The 17,317-nt window shown below is 40.1% G+C and overlaps 1 long non-coding RNA gene across 1 annotated transcript; it reads left to right on the plus strand.

Annotated features, from left to right (window-relative positions):
* The first annotated feature begins 4,487 nt into the window (after window positions 1-4,487).
* On the plus strand, window positions 4,488-13,500 carry LOC105371147 (uncharacterized). Its single transcript, XR_950936.3, has 3 exons — window positions 4,488-4,686; window positions 9,724-9,870; window positions 12,473-13,500. It is a non-coding gene; the product is annotated as an uncharacterized LOC105371147 (long non-coding RNA).
* The last annotated feature ends 3,817 nt before the right edge of the window (window positions 13,501-17,317 follow it).

The raw sequence follows: 17,317 nt of genomic DNA on the forward strand, positions 1-17,317 counted from the left end.
CTTTTGGTTTGTTGATTTTCTCTATTGATTTCTTGTTTCCAATTTCATTGATTTATGCTGTAATACTTATTTCTTTCCTCTGTTTACTCTGAATTTAGTTTGCTCTTCTTTTTCTGGGTATAAACTTAGATGATTAATTTTGATTATTTTTTCTAATATATGCATTCAATGCTATAAATTTTTCTGTTAAGCACTGCTTTCACTGAATCTCACAAATTTTAATAAGTTGTGTTTAATAAGTTGTGTTTTAATAAATTTCTCTTGAAATTTATTCTTTAACCTGTGTGTTATTTGGAAGTGTTTTGTTTGATCTTCACATATATTGAGATTTTCCAGTTATTCTGTTATTGATTTCTAGTTTTTTTCCAGAATATGGTCTATCTTGGTGAATGTTCCATGTGAGCTTGGGAAGAATATGTATTCTACTGTTGTTGGATAAAGTAGTCTATAGATACAATTTATATCCAGTTCATTGATGGTGCTGTTGAGCTCAATTGTGTCCTTACTGATTTTCTGCATGCTGAATATGTCCCTTTTTGATAGAGGGGTGTTGAATTCATTTATTTCTCTTTGCAGGTGTGTCCATTTTTCCCTCATTTAGTTTGATGCTCTGTTGTTAGGTATATACATGTTAAAGATTGTTATGTTTTTTAGAGACTCCTGTATCGTTACATAATGCTCCTCTCTGTCCCTGGATAAATTTCCTTCCTTTTAAGTTTGCTCTGTCTGAAATTAATATAGTTATTCTTACTTTCTTTTGATTAGTGTTGGCATGGCATATCTTTCTCCATCCATTTACTTTTAATCTAAGTATGTTTTTACACTAAAGTGAATTTAAAGAGGGTTGTGTTTTTCCATCCACTCTAACAATATCTTTTAGCTAGTGCATTTAGACTATTGGTGTCTAAAGTGACTATTGATATATACTGCATATGCTATTTACAGCATATAAACTCCTGTAAATAGGTCTCTAATAATGTAGTGGTAAGGCATGGAATAAGGAGAAGCATTCTCTAGTCTCGTTATTAGGTTTCAGTCTTTTAGTAAGCCTATGTCTCTGGACTTTGAACTTTACGGGTGTGTCTTAATTTTTCTCTCCCTGCTCCCTTAGGGGGAACAGGATAACTACAATGGTCTGCAGTTGGGTAATTCTCTTTTTCCACATGGAAGGCTGGAGGGGGTTGGAGTTGGATATTTCCCTTCTTCCAAGTCAGTAAGACTTTGATAAAACCTCAGTAGGTTAAGCTCTGGTTAAATAGTTTTACTGAGGACAGATTTTGTTAAGAAAAACAAATTGCTCTTGTGTATTTTCAAATGGTTCCATTTTCCCTCCTGCAGCCAGAAGCACATGGGAATTTTTCTTTGCTATCCACTGTGAGAACTTGGTTGAGCTCCTGGAGGTAAAACTCACAATATTGTGGAGTCCTCCATGACTAGGTCTCCTTGGAGTTTTTAACCCTCAGATTTGTTCATATTGAGCCTCCAGCAATTTGTCAATTACAGTTCAGGTTTCCCTCCCTTGGCATTGGGCTTCTGCAGTGATTTTTGCTTGTGAGTCTCTGCTCCACTAAGATGCAACTCCAGTAAGCAGTGAGTCTCTGTTCCAGTATACCTGTTGGTCTCTCCAATGTTGGGGGCAGTGGTTTGCCCCATGTCCTCACCTCTCTTACATATCTAAGAAGAGTTGTTGATGTTTTAGTTCATTGAGGCTTTTACTTGTCAGGATGAAGTAATGACTTCTAAGCTCCTTACATGTTGAACTGGAAACCAGAAGTCATATGTATATACACACATATGTGTGTGTATATATATACACGTGTGTGTGTGTGTGTGTGTGTATATATATTTACCTCCTCCCCCCACATCTCCCCTGTCCACACACACAGTCCACTCTTTTGTTTTCTCATCATCTGTAAGTCAAGAATTCAGGCCGACCTCAGTTGGCAGTTCTCATGAAATTGTAGTCAGATGTTGGCATACTGGCAGGTGCTGTGGTGATTTAAAGGCTTAACTGTGCTGATGTCCAAGATTACTCACCCACACGGCTGGCAGTTGATGTGGGCTGCTGGGAACTCAGCACAGAAAACTGATCGGAATACCTATGCCGTGGCCTTTCCAAATGGTTTGAACTTCCTTACAGCATGGTGGCCTAAGGTCAGCCAGGCTTCTTAAATGGTGGCTCAAGCCCCCAACACAAGTGTTCCAACAAGCAAGGTGAAACAGTACTGTCTTTTTTTTCTTCAGATGTAGCTTCAGAAGTCACATTACTTTTCCACATTCTGTGGTTACAAATGACTCACAAGTCTGCCCAGATTCAAGAGGAGGGGACATAGACTCCACCTCTCTATGGAAGGACAAAGAGTTGTGAACCTATCTTAAAAATGCCACAATATCTAAGCTTTAAAAACATTAATTCATGATAGTTCCAATCCAACTGCAAGATACACTATTTCCCTAAAAATGGAGAGACAGTGAGCTGTGCAGAAGACAATTCTCAGCTCAGGGACCTGGAAATATCTATCCTTAATATATTCAAAGAACTAGACCAGGGTTGACAAACTTTTTATGTAAAGGGCCAGGTTGTAAATATTTTACTCTTTTCAGGACACATGGTCTCTGTCACAACTCCTTAACTGTATGCAAAAGCAGGTATAGACAATTCATAAACAAATGAGTATAGCTGTGTTTCAATAACACTTTATGCATTAAAAAAAAGCAGTGAACACATTTGCTCCCAGGTCATAGTTTGCTGACCCCTAGGCTAGTTTAAGTGATTCTCCTGCCTCCGCCTCCTGAGTAGCTGGGATTACAGCTGTGCACCACGACACCCAGATAATTTTTTGTATTTTTAGTAGAAATGGGGTTTGACCATGTTGGCCAGGCTGATGTCGAACTCCTGACCTCAAGTGATCCGCCTGCCTCGGCCTCCCAAAGTGCTGGGATTACAGGCGTGAGCCACTGCGGCCAGCCTTAGACTGCTGCTCTTTACTGAGCTCTAGGTTAGCCATGGAGGGGGCATCACTTGGTCGTGAATTTCTATAAATGTGATGCCGATACTGACAAGTTTGGACTCAGTTAGCTCCAAAGCCTTTCTCTACTGGCCTCTGATATTGGCTAATTTAGAGTCTGAAGTTACTCCTAAACTTCCCTTGTGACTAAAGCTCTGGATACTCAGTGACTGTTCAGTCTTGGCTGGTTTACAGCAAAATCAGTCCTGTCAGAAGGTCCTTGAAGAATCTTTTGGAGTCATGCTTAGTGATGAGAATGAGGCAGGTTCAAGTCCAGCACTTTAGTCCCAGGGAAAAGTCTTGGTCAGATTAGAGCAGTTTCCCAGTCTGCAGAGCTAGAATGATCAGAACAGCAACTTTCAGTGAGAACCAAATGAGAAACCCAGCATCAAGATTTAGGGCACAATAAAAGCTGATAGGAAGACTAGGCTACCTCATTATTATAGGAAGAACATCAGAGGAATCAATGATCTCTCACTCAGGGCCTAATTCATCACCTATTCCTTTCGGTCAGTGTTATTGCCAGGTCTCGCTCTTTCTGGTTAGGAATCTGTGTTAGTTCAAAGAAGAGAGAGTGACATTTGCCTTAATGTCATGGACTTGTCTGCTCTATCTGAACTCCCAAGTTAAATGAGCTCCAGTTATTTATATGATCTCTGGGGTTGTGTTTCAAGAGAAGAAGTATTCACTCTTATTTATGGTTCTAACTTAAAGGCTAAGCTGTAATGTAAAACAACTGACATGTTACCCAATAGTTGCACACTATTATTTTGGCACAGAGTTTTATTTTTATTTTTATTTTCATGATTTCTGGGCAAGCACATACGGAATGGGATTTCTGCCATGGTCTTCCTCCTACAGTCCTGTTTACCCTTCTACTCTGTTCCTTTTGTTCTCTTTAATCACAGAGGTTTGACCATGCAGGTGTTTGACCATAACTGTCATTGTCTAACATGCAGACATAGATCAACTGTTGATATAATGACACATTTTGTGGCTCACAAATATATTGAGCTTCTGAAAATAGGCAATAACATTTAGAATGAAGAGAGAAAAGATCCAGCATGGCAGAGTGTCGGTGTGCACTGGTGACCTCTTTTCAGATTTTATGCTGCCACTTACTAGTATATGTGGCATCTGTCCACTTGTTTGATCTCTCTGGGTCTCAATATTTTTACCTGTAAGATGGAGGTGATTATACATACCACATAGAATTCTCATGAAGGTTACATTTAACAATAATGAAGTGCTTGATACAGTGCCAGACACAATATTCCCTCAATTAGTGGTAGCCATGATAGACACGATTAGTGTTCCATATATGCTCACCGCCTCCTCCCACCATGACCTCCATAAGGTTATGTGCTTCTCTGCCCCACTGACACTGAATGTTTCCAGATGACTTGCTTTGGCCAGAGGGATATAGGTGGAAATGAATTCTGAGTCTAAGCTTTAAAGGCACTGCATGTTTCTGCTTGATCTTCTGAGATCTGTTTGGTCATCACCATGAGAAGACTATACCTCAGGTAGACACTATTCTTTCTCCCAGGTAACCTGGATCCCAAAATGAGAACAGAAGAACCACTTCATGTGACTTGAACCAGATCTGAAATCTGAAGTGAAGCCCAGAAGAGTGTAGCTGAAGACAAGTGAACCTACTTGACCAGCAAACGCACATGTGAGCATGCTGCTGATATTTTTGGAGTTGTTTGTTATGCAGAAACAGCTAACTGATACAGCCAAAAAGAAAAACAAGTTAAGCCCACAATGAGCTTTCAGCCCAGACACAAGGAAGACAAAGGAGTGAGGGCCAGTAAAGCTAGGTTATCATTCTCTGCCAGAAATTGGCTGTATGACCTTTGAACATCTACTTTGTCTATCTGGCTCTGATTTCTTCTAATGTGAAGAGGTTTTAGTGATTTTAGATGACCCAATATAATATCATTTTTAGACATAAACTTTTCTGTACCTATGAAAGTATTATCCTATAATAATAATCTGTAACATTAGTTTAGAAACAAGAAGGCTGAAAGGAGCTATGATTAAAGTCAATAAAACCACAAATGACATGGATAAATTGAAAATGGCATTGTTCTTAAATTCCTGGAATCTTATAAAGAAGGATCATGAGATATTTGGAAGCATTAGATTTAGGACCAATGAAAAGAGCAACTTTTATAAATGAAAGAGTCTTTTGGAACTGTCTCTCACTAAGTTATCTCAAAGTGATAACACAAGACAAATATATAAATCTTCAGCTTCAAGAAGCTTTGAAGTCCAGGGGTCACAAATGAGTTTCATTGTTTAGTATTCTTTTTTTTTTTAAATAAGTTTCTTGTCAACATGTAAAAACAGGACTTTCTTTTGCAAGAGCCAAAAATCTGGCAACACAGATCTTCTATGAAAGCATGAGAATAATCATTTGAAGTAAGAGCTTTTTTTTTGATGGTATTTAAACTTTCTAATTTACTCTAGTCCCCGCCTGACCTGCATCATCTGCCTTGCTTCAAGAGGCCTTTGAGTTTATATCTATTGAATTTGGCAAATCCCAATGACTGATCCTGACTTGATATAAAAGGAGTCTTCACCAGTTGGACTCAGATATGGTTCAACTGTCTATGTTGTGTGAAATTTGACTTTTTAAATATGTTTTAATCAGTTCAGTTTGGGGAGGTCTCTGCTATGGAGTACACTTCAGTTTCCTTGTATTATCCTCCTGATAGTCATTATAATAGTCTTGCTGGCACACTGTGTCCTCTTAAGTGTCTTAAATGTTTGCTTGTAGCTATCCATTGTTTGTTAAGCAGTGTGATTATGACTAGGACAGCAACAAGGTCAATAATCATTTGACTAATCCACCATTGTGACTTGTGAATTCCATACTGAGACCAAATGAGTGTATTATGTTAGTGACAGAGTGGTCACAATTCCCAAGGTTTTTGGTCAATCTCTCAAAATTGAGAGGGTGAACAAAAGGGAGAAATTGTTAAAAAAAAAAAAAAAAAAGAAAGAAACAGGAAGGCATTGGCCTGACACTGTCTGCATACTTTGAGTTCCTACGTAACAGCCTGCAACTGAATTTAGTACACAAACAAATCAACACTTAAGTTAGGAGTATCATTTTTGAAACAGATAACCGAGTCTCAGCAACTGAGCTTCAGCCATTTCTAGACAGCCAACTGATTAGACCATGCCCAGATAAGGCATGTACCTACCTGTAATCAATCCAGTTGTTTCTGTACTTTACTTCTGTGTTTAGACTATAAAAGCTAATGCCCATGTTAAGCAGGGATTACCTCTCTAAACTTTTGGTTCTAGGTGCTGTTTAATTCACGAATCACTTTTTGCTCAAATAAACTCTATTACATTAAAAAAAAATCCAGAAGGGGTCTTGAGCATGTGAAAATTACCATTAATAGCTTTAAGTTGCTCTCATGAAAGGTAAACAGATCCTTTCCCAAGGAGCTCTTGGTAGTCTGCCTCCTGGAGAAACTCAGAGATCTGTTTATCTATGTGCTTTTTAGAGAGCAAGTTAGTTGAGGGTCTTTCCCTTTCAATGGTTGGAAATAGGATGGTTAACTTTACATCCAGAACTGAACCCACCATTAACTCAAATTAATCAATCAAAACTCCATTAGTCCACATTTTGGCTCATGGTACCACCCATTCACTCAGGCTAGAAACCTAAAAATCATTTCTGATTTTTAACTTTATTTTCTTCACTATAGCCATGTTATCAACTTCTCTAAAATCTTCCCTGTGTTAGTCTGTCCCACTTTCTTCTATTCACATGGCCACTGCTTTAGCAAGGGTTACACCTAAATTATTGTAACAACCAACTGGTAGATCTTATTTTTATGCATTCCTCGTATACTCAAAATTCACGTTATAGCCAGGAAGATTTCTACAACACACATGAATCTGCTCGTCACCCTCCTTTTAAAAACTTTCACTACTGACATGCCACATTGTCCATCAAGTACAAAATTCTCAATATAGCATTTCCCTCCATCTTACCTTGTCAACACTATCTTCTGCTGTTCTTGGACACATACCCTACACTATAGCCACTCTGACACAACTGTCAAATCAAACCCTTCATGGGTATGACTTTATTTTTTCTGATCTCCTTGCTTAGAATGTTTCATCTTCCATGGCTGCTCAGGAAACTTTAATTCATACTTGAAGCTTCTGCTCAGTGATCATCTTTTCTTTGATGTCTTTTCTGGTACCCTTCAATCACAAGTCAGACTTAATGGTATCATTCCCTCCTCCTTGCTCCAACAGCGATTTGAAAGTTTATCTTTCTGCAGATTTACTCTGATGGACATAATTAGTCACTTATATATCTTTTCCCGCCACACTATTGACTTCTGGAAGGCAAGATTAGGTCTCATAAATCATAGCTCTGCTATCCGTCACCATGCTGGGTATGTTGTAGGTATGGGGCAAGACTGGTGTGATAGTTTGGGGCTTTTCCTAGAGCCTTAGAGAACATCAATGTCTATTTCATCCTGTCCAATTAAACAGTCTCCTGAATGTTATCTGCACATTGTCACCCTCGGTTGTTTTCCCTTTTCCTAAATCTTTAACTTCCTTAGCTTTCTATCACAGTTCACAATGCTCACCTTACAATTGCCCACTCAACCTTGTCTGCAAATTGGAAGTATTTGGGAAGCTTTAAAAATATTAAGGACTAGATTTCATGCTCAGAAATATTGCTGTCACTGGTCTAGGGACAGCTGGGACATTGGTGTCATTCTAAGATGCAACCAAGGTTCAGGCTTCCTGTTCCAAGTCTTGAATTGGTATTTTCTTCCAGCTCCATGTGGCAAAGCCACTGACAAAACATTGTCCTCACTGTGTCACTGGCGGCTCTATGTTCTAGGTTGGTCATATCAGTATTAGCCAGCATCCCACTGTGCAAGGGGAATCAGATATGGGAGTTAAAATGTTAAAACTTAAAAATGAGGCCGGGCACCAAGGCTCATGCCTCCAGCACTTTAGGAGGCCGAGGCGGGTGGACCACTTGAGGTCAGGAGTTCAAGGCCAGCCTGGCCAACATGGTGAAACCCCATCTCTACTAAAAATACAATAATTAGCTGGGTGTGGTGGTGCACACCTGTAATCCCAGCTACTGGGGAGGTTGAGGCAGGAGAATCGGTTGAACCCAGGAGGCAGAGGCTGCAGTGAGCCAAGATCACACCACCGCAGTCCAGCCTGGAGAAACAAACTTAAAAATAATTTCAGTTATTCACTATCCTTTGAGTATTCCTGTTATTTTTCTTGATTTATAAAATAAGGCTTGTCCATAGGAAAATTTAAGCATCTCTTTGTATTCTGCAGTTTTTCTATCTCTTGAACATTTTGGTTAAGGGATCTGAAAGCTATGGCTCCAGTGTCCTTTCTAGCTTTTTGCTCTACAGAATTGCTGTGTTCCATTGAAAACAAGCATCCTTCACTTAGCATCAAAATCGCATGCTAAGAGACTTTTTAGCATCCAAATTGTACGCCAGGGTGAATCTGGAAATTGGCTCTCTACTGAAATATAATCAGCGTGATCCAGGGGTCTTTCCAGCTCCAGTCCAGCTGGAAACTCCTTTTAGGACAAGCATTGTGAGTATATGCCATATGTCAGGGAGTGAGGGCAGTCATATGGATGTGGAGGAAGAAAGATGAATAGTAAGAAGGACTTTCTGGAGGAAGGGAACTCTTTCCAAGCCTAGCTGACAAATAGGACTTAAGAAGGAGGTCATTTCTCTACATTTGGCCTCAAGCCTTTTTTATAGGGAAAAAAAATATGTTGAAATCCTTCTTGAATTTCATCCTTGAGTTGAACTGATGAAGTTCTCTTCCATAGTAGATAAAAACAGTACCTCCTAAAACCAAATTCAGAGAAAGTGAAAGGAGGAATTGGCTCCTGAGGGTGGAAGGAGCAGACACAGATGCATCCTTTGCCTTCAAAATTTCTTGAAGGAATAGAGGAGCTGTGAAAAAGAATAAATTCATAATGGCATGGAAAACAAGGAGGGTTGCCATTAGTAGATAAGAAAATTTGAGGCATTGCTAATGTATAGAAAGCAGAAATGATCAGATTTATGGAGAGACAAATTTGGAGGCAACAGCTCACAACATACGGGGGAGTAGACTGTGGCCAAGTAGACGCAATTTAAGAAAAATTCAAAAGCTAGAGTCAATAAAATGGAAAGAACCTTAGGAGTACACACTGAGTATCTTCAGTTCGTATTTGCATAATACCACATTTCTCTCTCCTTTTTATTGGGGATACTTGATCAGGATCCAGAATTCTTTATCACTTGTCTACCTCTGACACAGGTGAAAACATGTACATTGTTTATTCCTACAAAGAGAGAGGTTCTCAGTTTCTAAGTTGCACAGTTACTTGTGGACATTTAAAAAATATATAGATACCTGTGCTTCAATCAAAACTTCCTGAATCAGAATCTTTGAGATTCCAAAAATCTGGATTTTCAAAAATTTCTCAAGAAGATTCTGATGCATTGAGAGTCAAAGACCACTTTTATAAGACATTTTCTCCATACTACAGTTTAGATTTGGGGTGATTAGGCCATACCAAGATGGTATGATATGTTTAACATGTGTTTCATGACAATAGATAGAATGGAGAAATGCAAATAACTAAATAGATAACATAAGAAAACTCCCCAGAGTTGAATAAAGATATTCTTTTCAGATCAAAGGGCCCCCTGGCTACTAAGGAAGATGAATGAAGAAAGGGCCCATACATGGACACCTACTTCATAGTAAAATCTGAGGACATGAAGTATAAAGAGGACATTCTGAACACTTCAAGAGACAGCACCCTTAGCTAGGCATGCAGGTGAGCACCTGTAGTCTCAGCTACCTGGGAGACTGAGGCGGGAGGATCACATGAGCCCGGAAGGCCAAGGCTGCAGTGAGCCATGACTGTGCCACTGCACTGCAGCTTGGGCAATGGAGTGAAACCATGTCTAAAAAAAAGGGGCAGTGGGGGGGTATCAACTTACCTTGGGTGTAGCTAAAGTTGTGTACTTCAGAAGAAGAGATATTGCAAAAGCTTCATGTTTAGTACTTGTGACTCTATGCCTTAGTTTCCCTTCTACTGTAAAGTAAGAAAAACAATAATTTGGAGAGTTAAATGAGTTACTACATAGAAAATTATTATAATATGAACTGGCATGTAATAACTGTTCACTCAGTGTTTAATTTTATCATTATTACTCCACAATAAGTATGCCTTTTAAGGTTATTCAATACTTTTCTTATGCAACACCTGGAAGATATTTCAGTAATTCCAGGAAGAGGGGTTCCAGTGGTAACATTGTGTTGTTACTGTTGCAGCCATGCTTCTAGAAGTGAGTTAGACACAGTGGGAGGATGCATTGGATGCTCTCCATGGTCCTGCCCAGCATAGCCATTTTGGAGATTTTAAAGATGCTTCAAGCGTACTTACATAGACAGAATAATATAGAATTATATTATTATTTACTCTAAATATAATAAACTATTTTAATTGTTAGTTCTGACCAGAAAATACAAATGTGAAAACTGAAGGCAAGAATGTGACTTATTGAGGTACCCAGTTGACACCCATGGAAGCATCTGAGACCCCAGAGAAACCTGGCTTAGTTCCATGGAATGAGCCACAGATCCTAGTCTATGGCACAGAGTCTGTAGCCAGATTGAGGCAGCACTGTGGGAGTTTGGGAACAATCCCAGGAACTTGGCAGCCTGAACATACTCAATGACCTTCTTGAAACTGACAGTTCACTCGAGCTCCTCATCCTCCTCCATTCAGCCCTGCATCCCTCTTTCACTTGCAAAGCTGAAAAGGACAGCTTGAAAATTTATTGTCTGCATCTAAGACCCTCTGTCTCGCATGCTTATAGTCCTCAACATGAATGGAGCAAATGACACAAAAACTACTGTGCGTCAAAAGTAATAAAGAAGGTCATAGGAGAAAAAGGGACTGAAAAATTCTTTAGCCATTCATTTTTCCCAAATATTTTCAAAGAAGTCAGGTTTGATAAAACCAGGGATAGCAGTCAGGGGTCAGAGCAGCATTTGTGTTCTCACAGTGTCCCAGGGCTAAAATGTAGTTATCCCTAGTGATTTTGGAATACTTCAAAGCCAGAGCAAGTAGAGAAGAAGCCAAAAGCCATTCAGCAGTGCCAGTGTCCAAAATGCAAGGTCAAGCGTTAGTTAGTAGGTTGCTGTATTCAGCAAGGAATTCAGAGGCAAGGAGATGGAAGTAAGTGCAAACAATTGAGAATCATACTAGATTCTAAGCTTCTCAAGAGCAAGATATGTATATTGTTTACCATTGCATTCCCTGACTCTCATGTAGTGCCTGGAAAATACCCACACATTTATATAATGACTGATATGACTGATATAGTGATCAAATAGATTTTTCTTGTTTGTTTTGAGATAGGGTCTCTGTCACCCAGGCTGGAGTGCAATGGAGAAATCATGGCTCACTGCAGCCTCAACCTGCTGAATTCAAGCAATCCTCACACCTCAGCCTCCCAAGTAGCTGGGACTACAGATGTGCTCCACATACCCAGCTATTTTTTTTTTCTATTTTTTGTAGACACAAGGTCTCAGTATATTGCCCAGGTTCGCCTCGAACTCCTGAGCTCAAGTGATCCTCCTGCCCTGGCTTCCCAAAATACCGGGATTATAGTTGTGAGCCACTGTGCTTGGCACTCAAATAGTTTTTTTTTTTTTTTATTATACTCTAAGTTTTAGGGTACATGTGCACATTGTGCAGGTTAGTTACATATGTATACATGTGCCATGCTGGTGCGCTGCACCCACTAATGTGTCATCTAGCATTAGGTATATCTCCCAATGCTATCCCTCCCCCCTCCCCCGACCCCACCACATTTTAAAAGGGAAAATGTTGGGAGTTAAGAGAAACAGTATCTATTGTTCATGACTTTTTAAATGTGCTCACTGGCGCTTATTCAGTGGTTGAGTTGACTGTGCTTCAAGAACTTAGAGTGAAGCACAAACGTTCAATTTTTCTTTAATCTCCTGCTGATTTCCAGGTACCATGCAAGGCAGGAGTGATGCAAAAATAATAAAGACAAGGCCTTTTCCCTTAAGAGGGTCAAAACTTCACAAAACAAATGATGTTCTTGCTCTCCATTTAATATGTAGGAGTTTTCCAGGTAAAGAGAGGGAGAAAATTTTCCAAGAAGATGGACTTTTATGTTCTAGGACCTAGCTGCAAATTTCCTAAGATAGTTTCATGTAGTTAAAGTGTGTGGGAAGTGGTGGTGGTATATTACGTTTGTAAGGTACTCGGGCTTGAGCCAATTAGTAAAAGGACCTTATCCTTCATCTTTAAGTCTTACCACATTATGTTGGGGTTGATGAATAGCCATGAAATTATTTTAGATGATCTTAGTTTTTGTTTTGTTTTGTTTTGTTTTTAGACAGGATCTCACTGTCACCCAGGCTGGAGTACAGTGGCTCGATCTTGGCTCACTGCAACCTCTGCTTCTCAGGCCCAAGCAATTCTCCCACCTCAGCCTCTCAAGTAGCTAGGACCACAGGTGTAAGCCACCATGCCCAGCTAATTTTTTTTTGTATTCTTTGTATAGATGGGGTTTCACCATGTTGCCCAGGCTGGTCTCAAACTCCTGAGCTCAAAGTGACCCCCCCACTTCGACCTCCCAAAGTGCCCAGCTCCATCTTAGGTTTTGCAGCAATCACCCTGGGTACACATATGGAGAATGGAATGAAGAGGTAAGCACTGGAGGCAGAAAGACCAGTTATGGAATCATTTGTTGTCTCTGTAAGAAATGATGAAGTCCAGAACGAATTTCCAGAACTGGTAGTGGGTAGGAAATAAGAAGACAAATTTGACAGCAATTGGGAGTTGAAATCAAGAATTGGTGAGACACTGAGGATGACTATAAAGTCTGGAAATTAGGTGGATGGTGATGCTTTCTATTCAAGATCAGAACACAGGAGGTCAGTCATTAAGGTAAGGAATTCATTTTGATATATTGGGGTTGAAACACCAGTGGACTTCCAAATAGATTTGTCCTGTACCAGTGGGAAGTGTGAACCTGGAGCTCAATAGAGAGCAGCAGATGTTGGAATTCTGCTTTTCCTAAGTGTGCAACTGCGTGAAGGAGAAAAGCACTTTTGGGCTCTCTTCAGTCAGGTTTCGGGGAAGCTGAAGTTTGCTCCCCTCCATGAATATCTTAGTTCTGAAAATTTACGTCTGCTGTGTCAAATGAGGTCTGACTGCTAGACTCAAAGCCCAGGTGCTCTTTCTCATTGGCCAAGGACGATTCAGGGTCTGTTATCTGTTTCATATCCTTCACCAAGGGGCATAACAATGTATGCTCCTCAGTAGCCATTCATTCCCCAAATTTGTTCTCTCTCCTTCCACTCTTCCTCCCTTACCTGCTCTATTCTGACTCCTTCCCCAGCTCCTAAACTGAAACCTTCCAAGATCACCAAAGAACCAATTGTTAACTGTAAGGGGAATATATTGATCCTTTTCTTAATTGACCTCTCTACAGCATCTGAGTACTCCGTTTCTTACTGAAAATTGCTTCGTAACTTTCTTAATTGACATTTTTCGTAACTTTCTTAATTGACATTTTTCTATTGTTGGTTTTTTTTGTTTTGTTTTGTTTTTCTCTTAACTCTCACTACTTCCTTTGTAGTTCTCTTAGCCAAATCCTTATTCTCTGGAAATTTATTTTTATTGCTTTTAACGTAGTGGAATTATTTTTCTGATTTTAAAGTTGACAGATAATTACTAAAACTTTAAAGCAATGCCCAGAATAGTGCAAAGTGGACTGATAAAAATTATCCTAATATGCAGCTCCTGTAGATAACTAAGGCTAACATTTCATTTTTTAAAAAAAGTTATTTTATTTTATTTTTTAAGTTCCGGGGTACATGTGCAGGACGTGCAGGTTTGTTACATAGGTAAACATGTGCCAGGGTGGTTTGCTGCACCTGTCAACCCATCACTTAGGTATTAAGCCCAGCGTGCATTTAGCTCTTTTCCCTAATGCTTTCCCAGCTCCTGCCCTCCCCTGACAGTCCCTGGTGAGTGTTGTTCCCCTCCCTTTGTCCGTGTGTTCTCATTTTTCAGCTCCCACTTATAAGTGAGAATATCTGGTGTGTGGTTTTCTGGTCCTGCATTCGTTTGCTGAGGATAATTGGCTTCCAGCTCCATCCATGTCCCTGCAAAGGACATGATATCATTCCTTTTTATGGCTTCATAGTATTCCATGGTGTATATATACCACATTTTCTTTATCCAGTCTATTATTGATGGGCATTTGAGTTGATTCCTCGTCTTTGCTATTGTAAATAGTGCTGCAATAAACATACACATGCATGTATCTTTATAATAGAATGATTTATATTCCTTTGAGTATATATCCAGTAATGGGATTCCTGGGTCAAATGGTATTTCTGCTTCTAAATCTTTAGGAAATCGCCACACTGTCTTCCACAATGGTTGAACTAATTTACATTCCCACCAACAATGTAAAAGCACTGGCGAAGTTGCAGAGAAAAGGTTAACATTTTAATAGCCATCTTTTCTCCTCCCAGCCTGTCTCTCCAACGTGGACTCAAAACTGTCTAAACAACGATTTGTCCTTGATTTTTTTGGAATTGCTCCCGTTTTGGAGGCAACTCTACCAATCATGATTACCGAAGGAACTGTTATTTTGTATACATCTTGAAAGAAGATAACAAAATCCTCCTTCCACCTAACACATGTTCACAATTAGTCGTCCCAGTAGTGGGCATCTTGTATAGAAATCTTAGCTAGCCTTCAGAAGCAAATTAAGATCAAATATGCCTTGCTGAGTGGCAGGGAATGGATTCTTTGCTATATTATAAACATAATATGGGGGTTAAGAAAATGGACTACTTGTACTAGATTGGGGATATTAGGGAAAAGGCGGGAAAAGTCAGAAAAGACGGACAGTTTTATTTCACCCCCACAAAACACTTATTACAGTATAATTCATGTTGGATGAAGGATACTGTGTAAAGCACACTTGATTGGAATAAAAACTGAAGATAGGGGCAACATTGTAGGAAGATCCTGTCCTGCCGTGAGGTTGACAAAGAGTGGCCAGGAACGTGAGACAAAACACTGGATGGGTGTTCAAAGGGCACGCCTGATAAACTCTCTGTCATAGGCTATCAGGAAAATAGGTTCTTTTTTTATTTTTATTTTTATTTTTTGAGGCAGAGTCTCATTCTGTGGCCCAGGCCAGAATTCAGTGGCGCAATCTCGGCTCACTGCAACCTCTGCCTCCAGGGCTCAAGCAATTCTCCTTCCTCAGCCTCCAGAGTAGCTGGGATTACAGGCTCGCGCCACCACGCCTGGATAATTTTTGTATTTTTAGTAGAGACAGGGTTTCACCATGTTAGCCAGGCTGGTCTCGAACTCCTGAATGATCCACCTGCCTTGGCCTCCCAAAGTGTTGGGATTACAGGAGTGAGCCACTTCTCCCAGCCGGAAAATAAGTTGTTAATAAGGAGACTGATAGGCAGCTTATTGATTCTTTTAGGGAGTTGTATATTCAGAAGAATTCCAAGCTTGGAAGACAATGACCTGGACTTGCCTCTTCTCAAGGCAGCTCCTCCTGGTCCCAAATACCTACAATAACAGGGAGTATACTGCTTAGTTGACATCATTTCCCTGATAGGAAAATCATCCCCAATTCCCTCCTCACAGAGGTGGTTCCTAACATAACTAGGCAATGGAGATGTTTTCCTTAGGAAGACTTTAGGGTAGAAACATTTCAGAACAAGACACTTATTTTCCCATTATGAGATCTTCTGCCCCTGTCGCTTAATTGTTACAAACCATCCCTGACTGTTCTAATAGACCAATAGACCTGTTCTAATAGAGTGTTCTAATAGACCACCTGGTCATGATTTTGCCCCACGGGATATTTGGCAATGTCTGTAGTCATTTTCGATTGTCATAACTGGGGAAAGTGTTCCTGGCGTCTAGCAGGTAAAGGGCTGATGTAACCAAGTCCCCACAGCAAAGCATCATCTGGCTCAAAATGTCAGTAGTGTCAAGGTTGAGAAACCCTGCAATAGAGTGTGTGCTCTGCGCCAGTGGCCAAGAAATAGTTGGTACATCACTGTCATTTTTAAATGATAGTCTTTATTGTAGTTATGCCATTTTCCTCCATTTTTTTGTATTCAGTTTTGGATTTTTCTTATAATAATGGATAGTATGGATCGGTTAGATGTGGTACTGGAGAAAAAAAGATGCATCACCCAGAGAGCTGGATCTTGACAGCACGTAGGAAGTAGCTACTCTTTCCTACTGTGTTTCCTACTGTGTTTCCTGCTTGCGTTTGCAATGTTGTAGTTTTAAAATGTATGGGGGGGCCAGGTGCAGTGGTTCATGCCTGTAATCCCAGCACTTTGGGAGGCGGAGGCGGGCAGATCACCTGAGGCCAGGAGTTCAAGACCAGCCTGGCCAACATGGCAAAACCCTGTCTCTACTAAAAATACAACAGTTAGCTGGGTGTGGTGGTGCATGCCTGTAGTCCCAGCTACTCTAGAGGCTGAGGCAGGAGAATTGCTTGAACCTAGGCGGTGGAGGTTGCAGTGAGCCCAGATTGTGTCACTGCACTCCAGCCTGGGTGACAGAGCGAGACTGTTAAAAAAAAAATTATGGGAGAAAGTGACTATTTGTGTTTTCTAGGCAGCAAATGGTACAGTATACTGAATGCCAGTTGCTTTATTTGACTAGTTCTTCCATCTTGGATTTTCTGGGAATTATCCTCATCTTATAGAAACAAGCTCCCTCATCTCCCTCTCCCACTTCATTACCACTGGGAACAATTTTAGACAGTATGACATTATTATCCAATTAACAGTTATTAAACCAGATCTGGATTGGGCCAATCAGAGTGGATTCTTGAGGACTTGGAGTTGAGGCCAAAATATTCTAGTCTAGCCTGGCTGCTTGGTTGAACTGAAGAAATGCAAATTTGGAATATGATATTAGTGACAAGTTTTCTACCATATGGACTAGAAAACAGAAGAGATTAGTAGACTGAGCCTTAAGAATATCACCTGTATGCAGGGAAGAAAAGCAGAAAGACTGAGAGTTTTGACAATATGTGCGGCTGGCTCTGGCTGTAGTTCTATTCTGAGAGGCTGTGAGAATCCCCAGTGTCTTCATGGAAAACGCCCCTTTTTGCATAAGATGATGATTTCATCTTAAACATAAAGTTGTACATTTGTGATCAGACAATAAAATA

The sequence above is a fragment of the Homo sapiens genome, chromosome 16, assembly GCF_000001405.40.
Source record: "Homo sapiens chromosome 16, GRCh38.p14 Primary Assembly".
NCBI classification, from domain to species: Eukaryota; Metazoa; Chordata; class Mammalia; order Primates; family Hominidae; genus Homo; species Homo sapiens.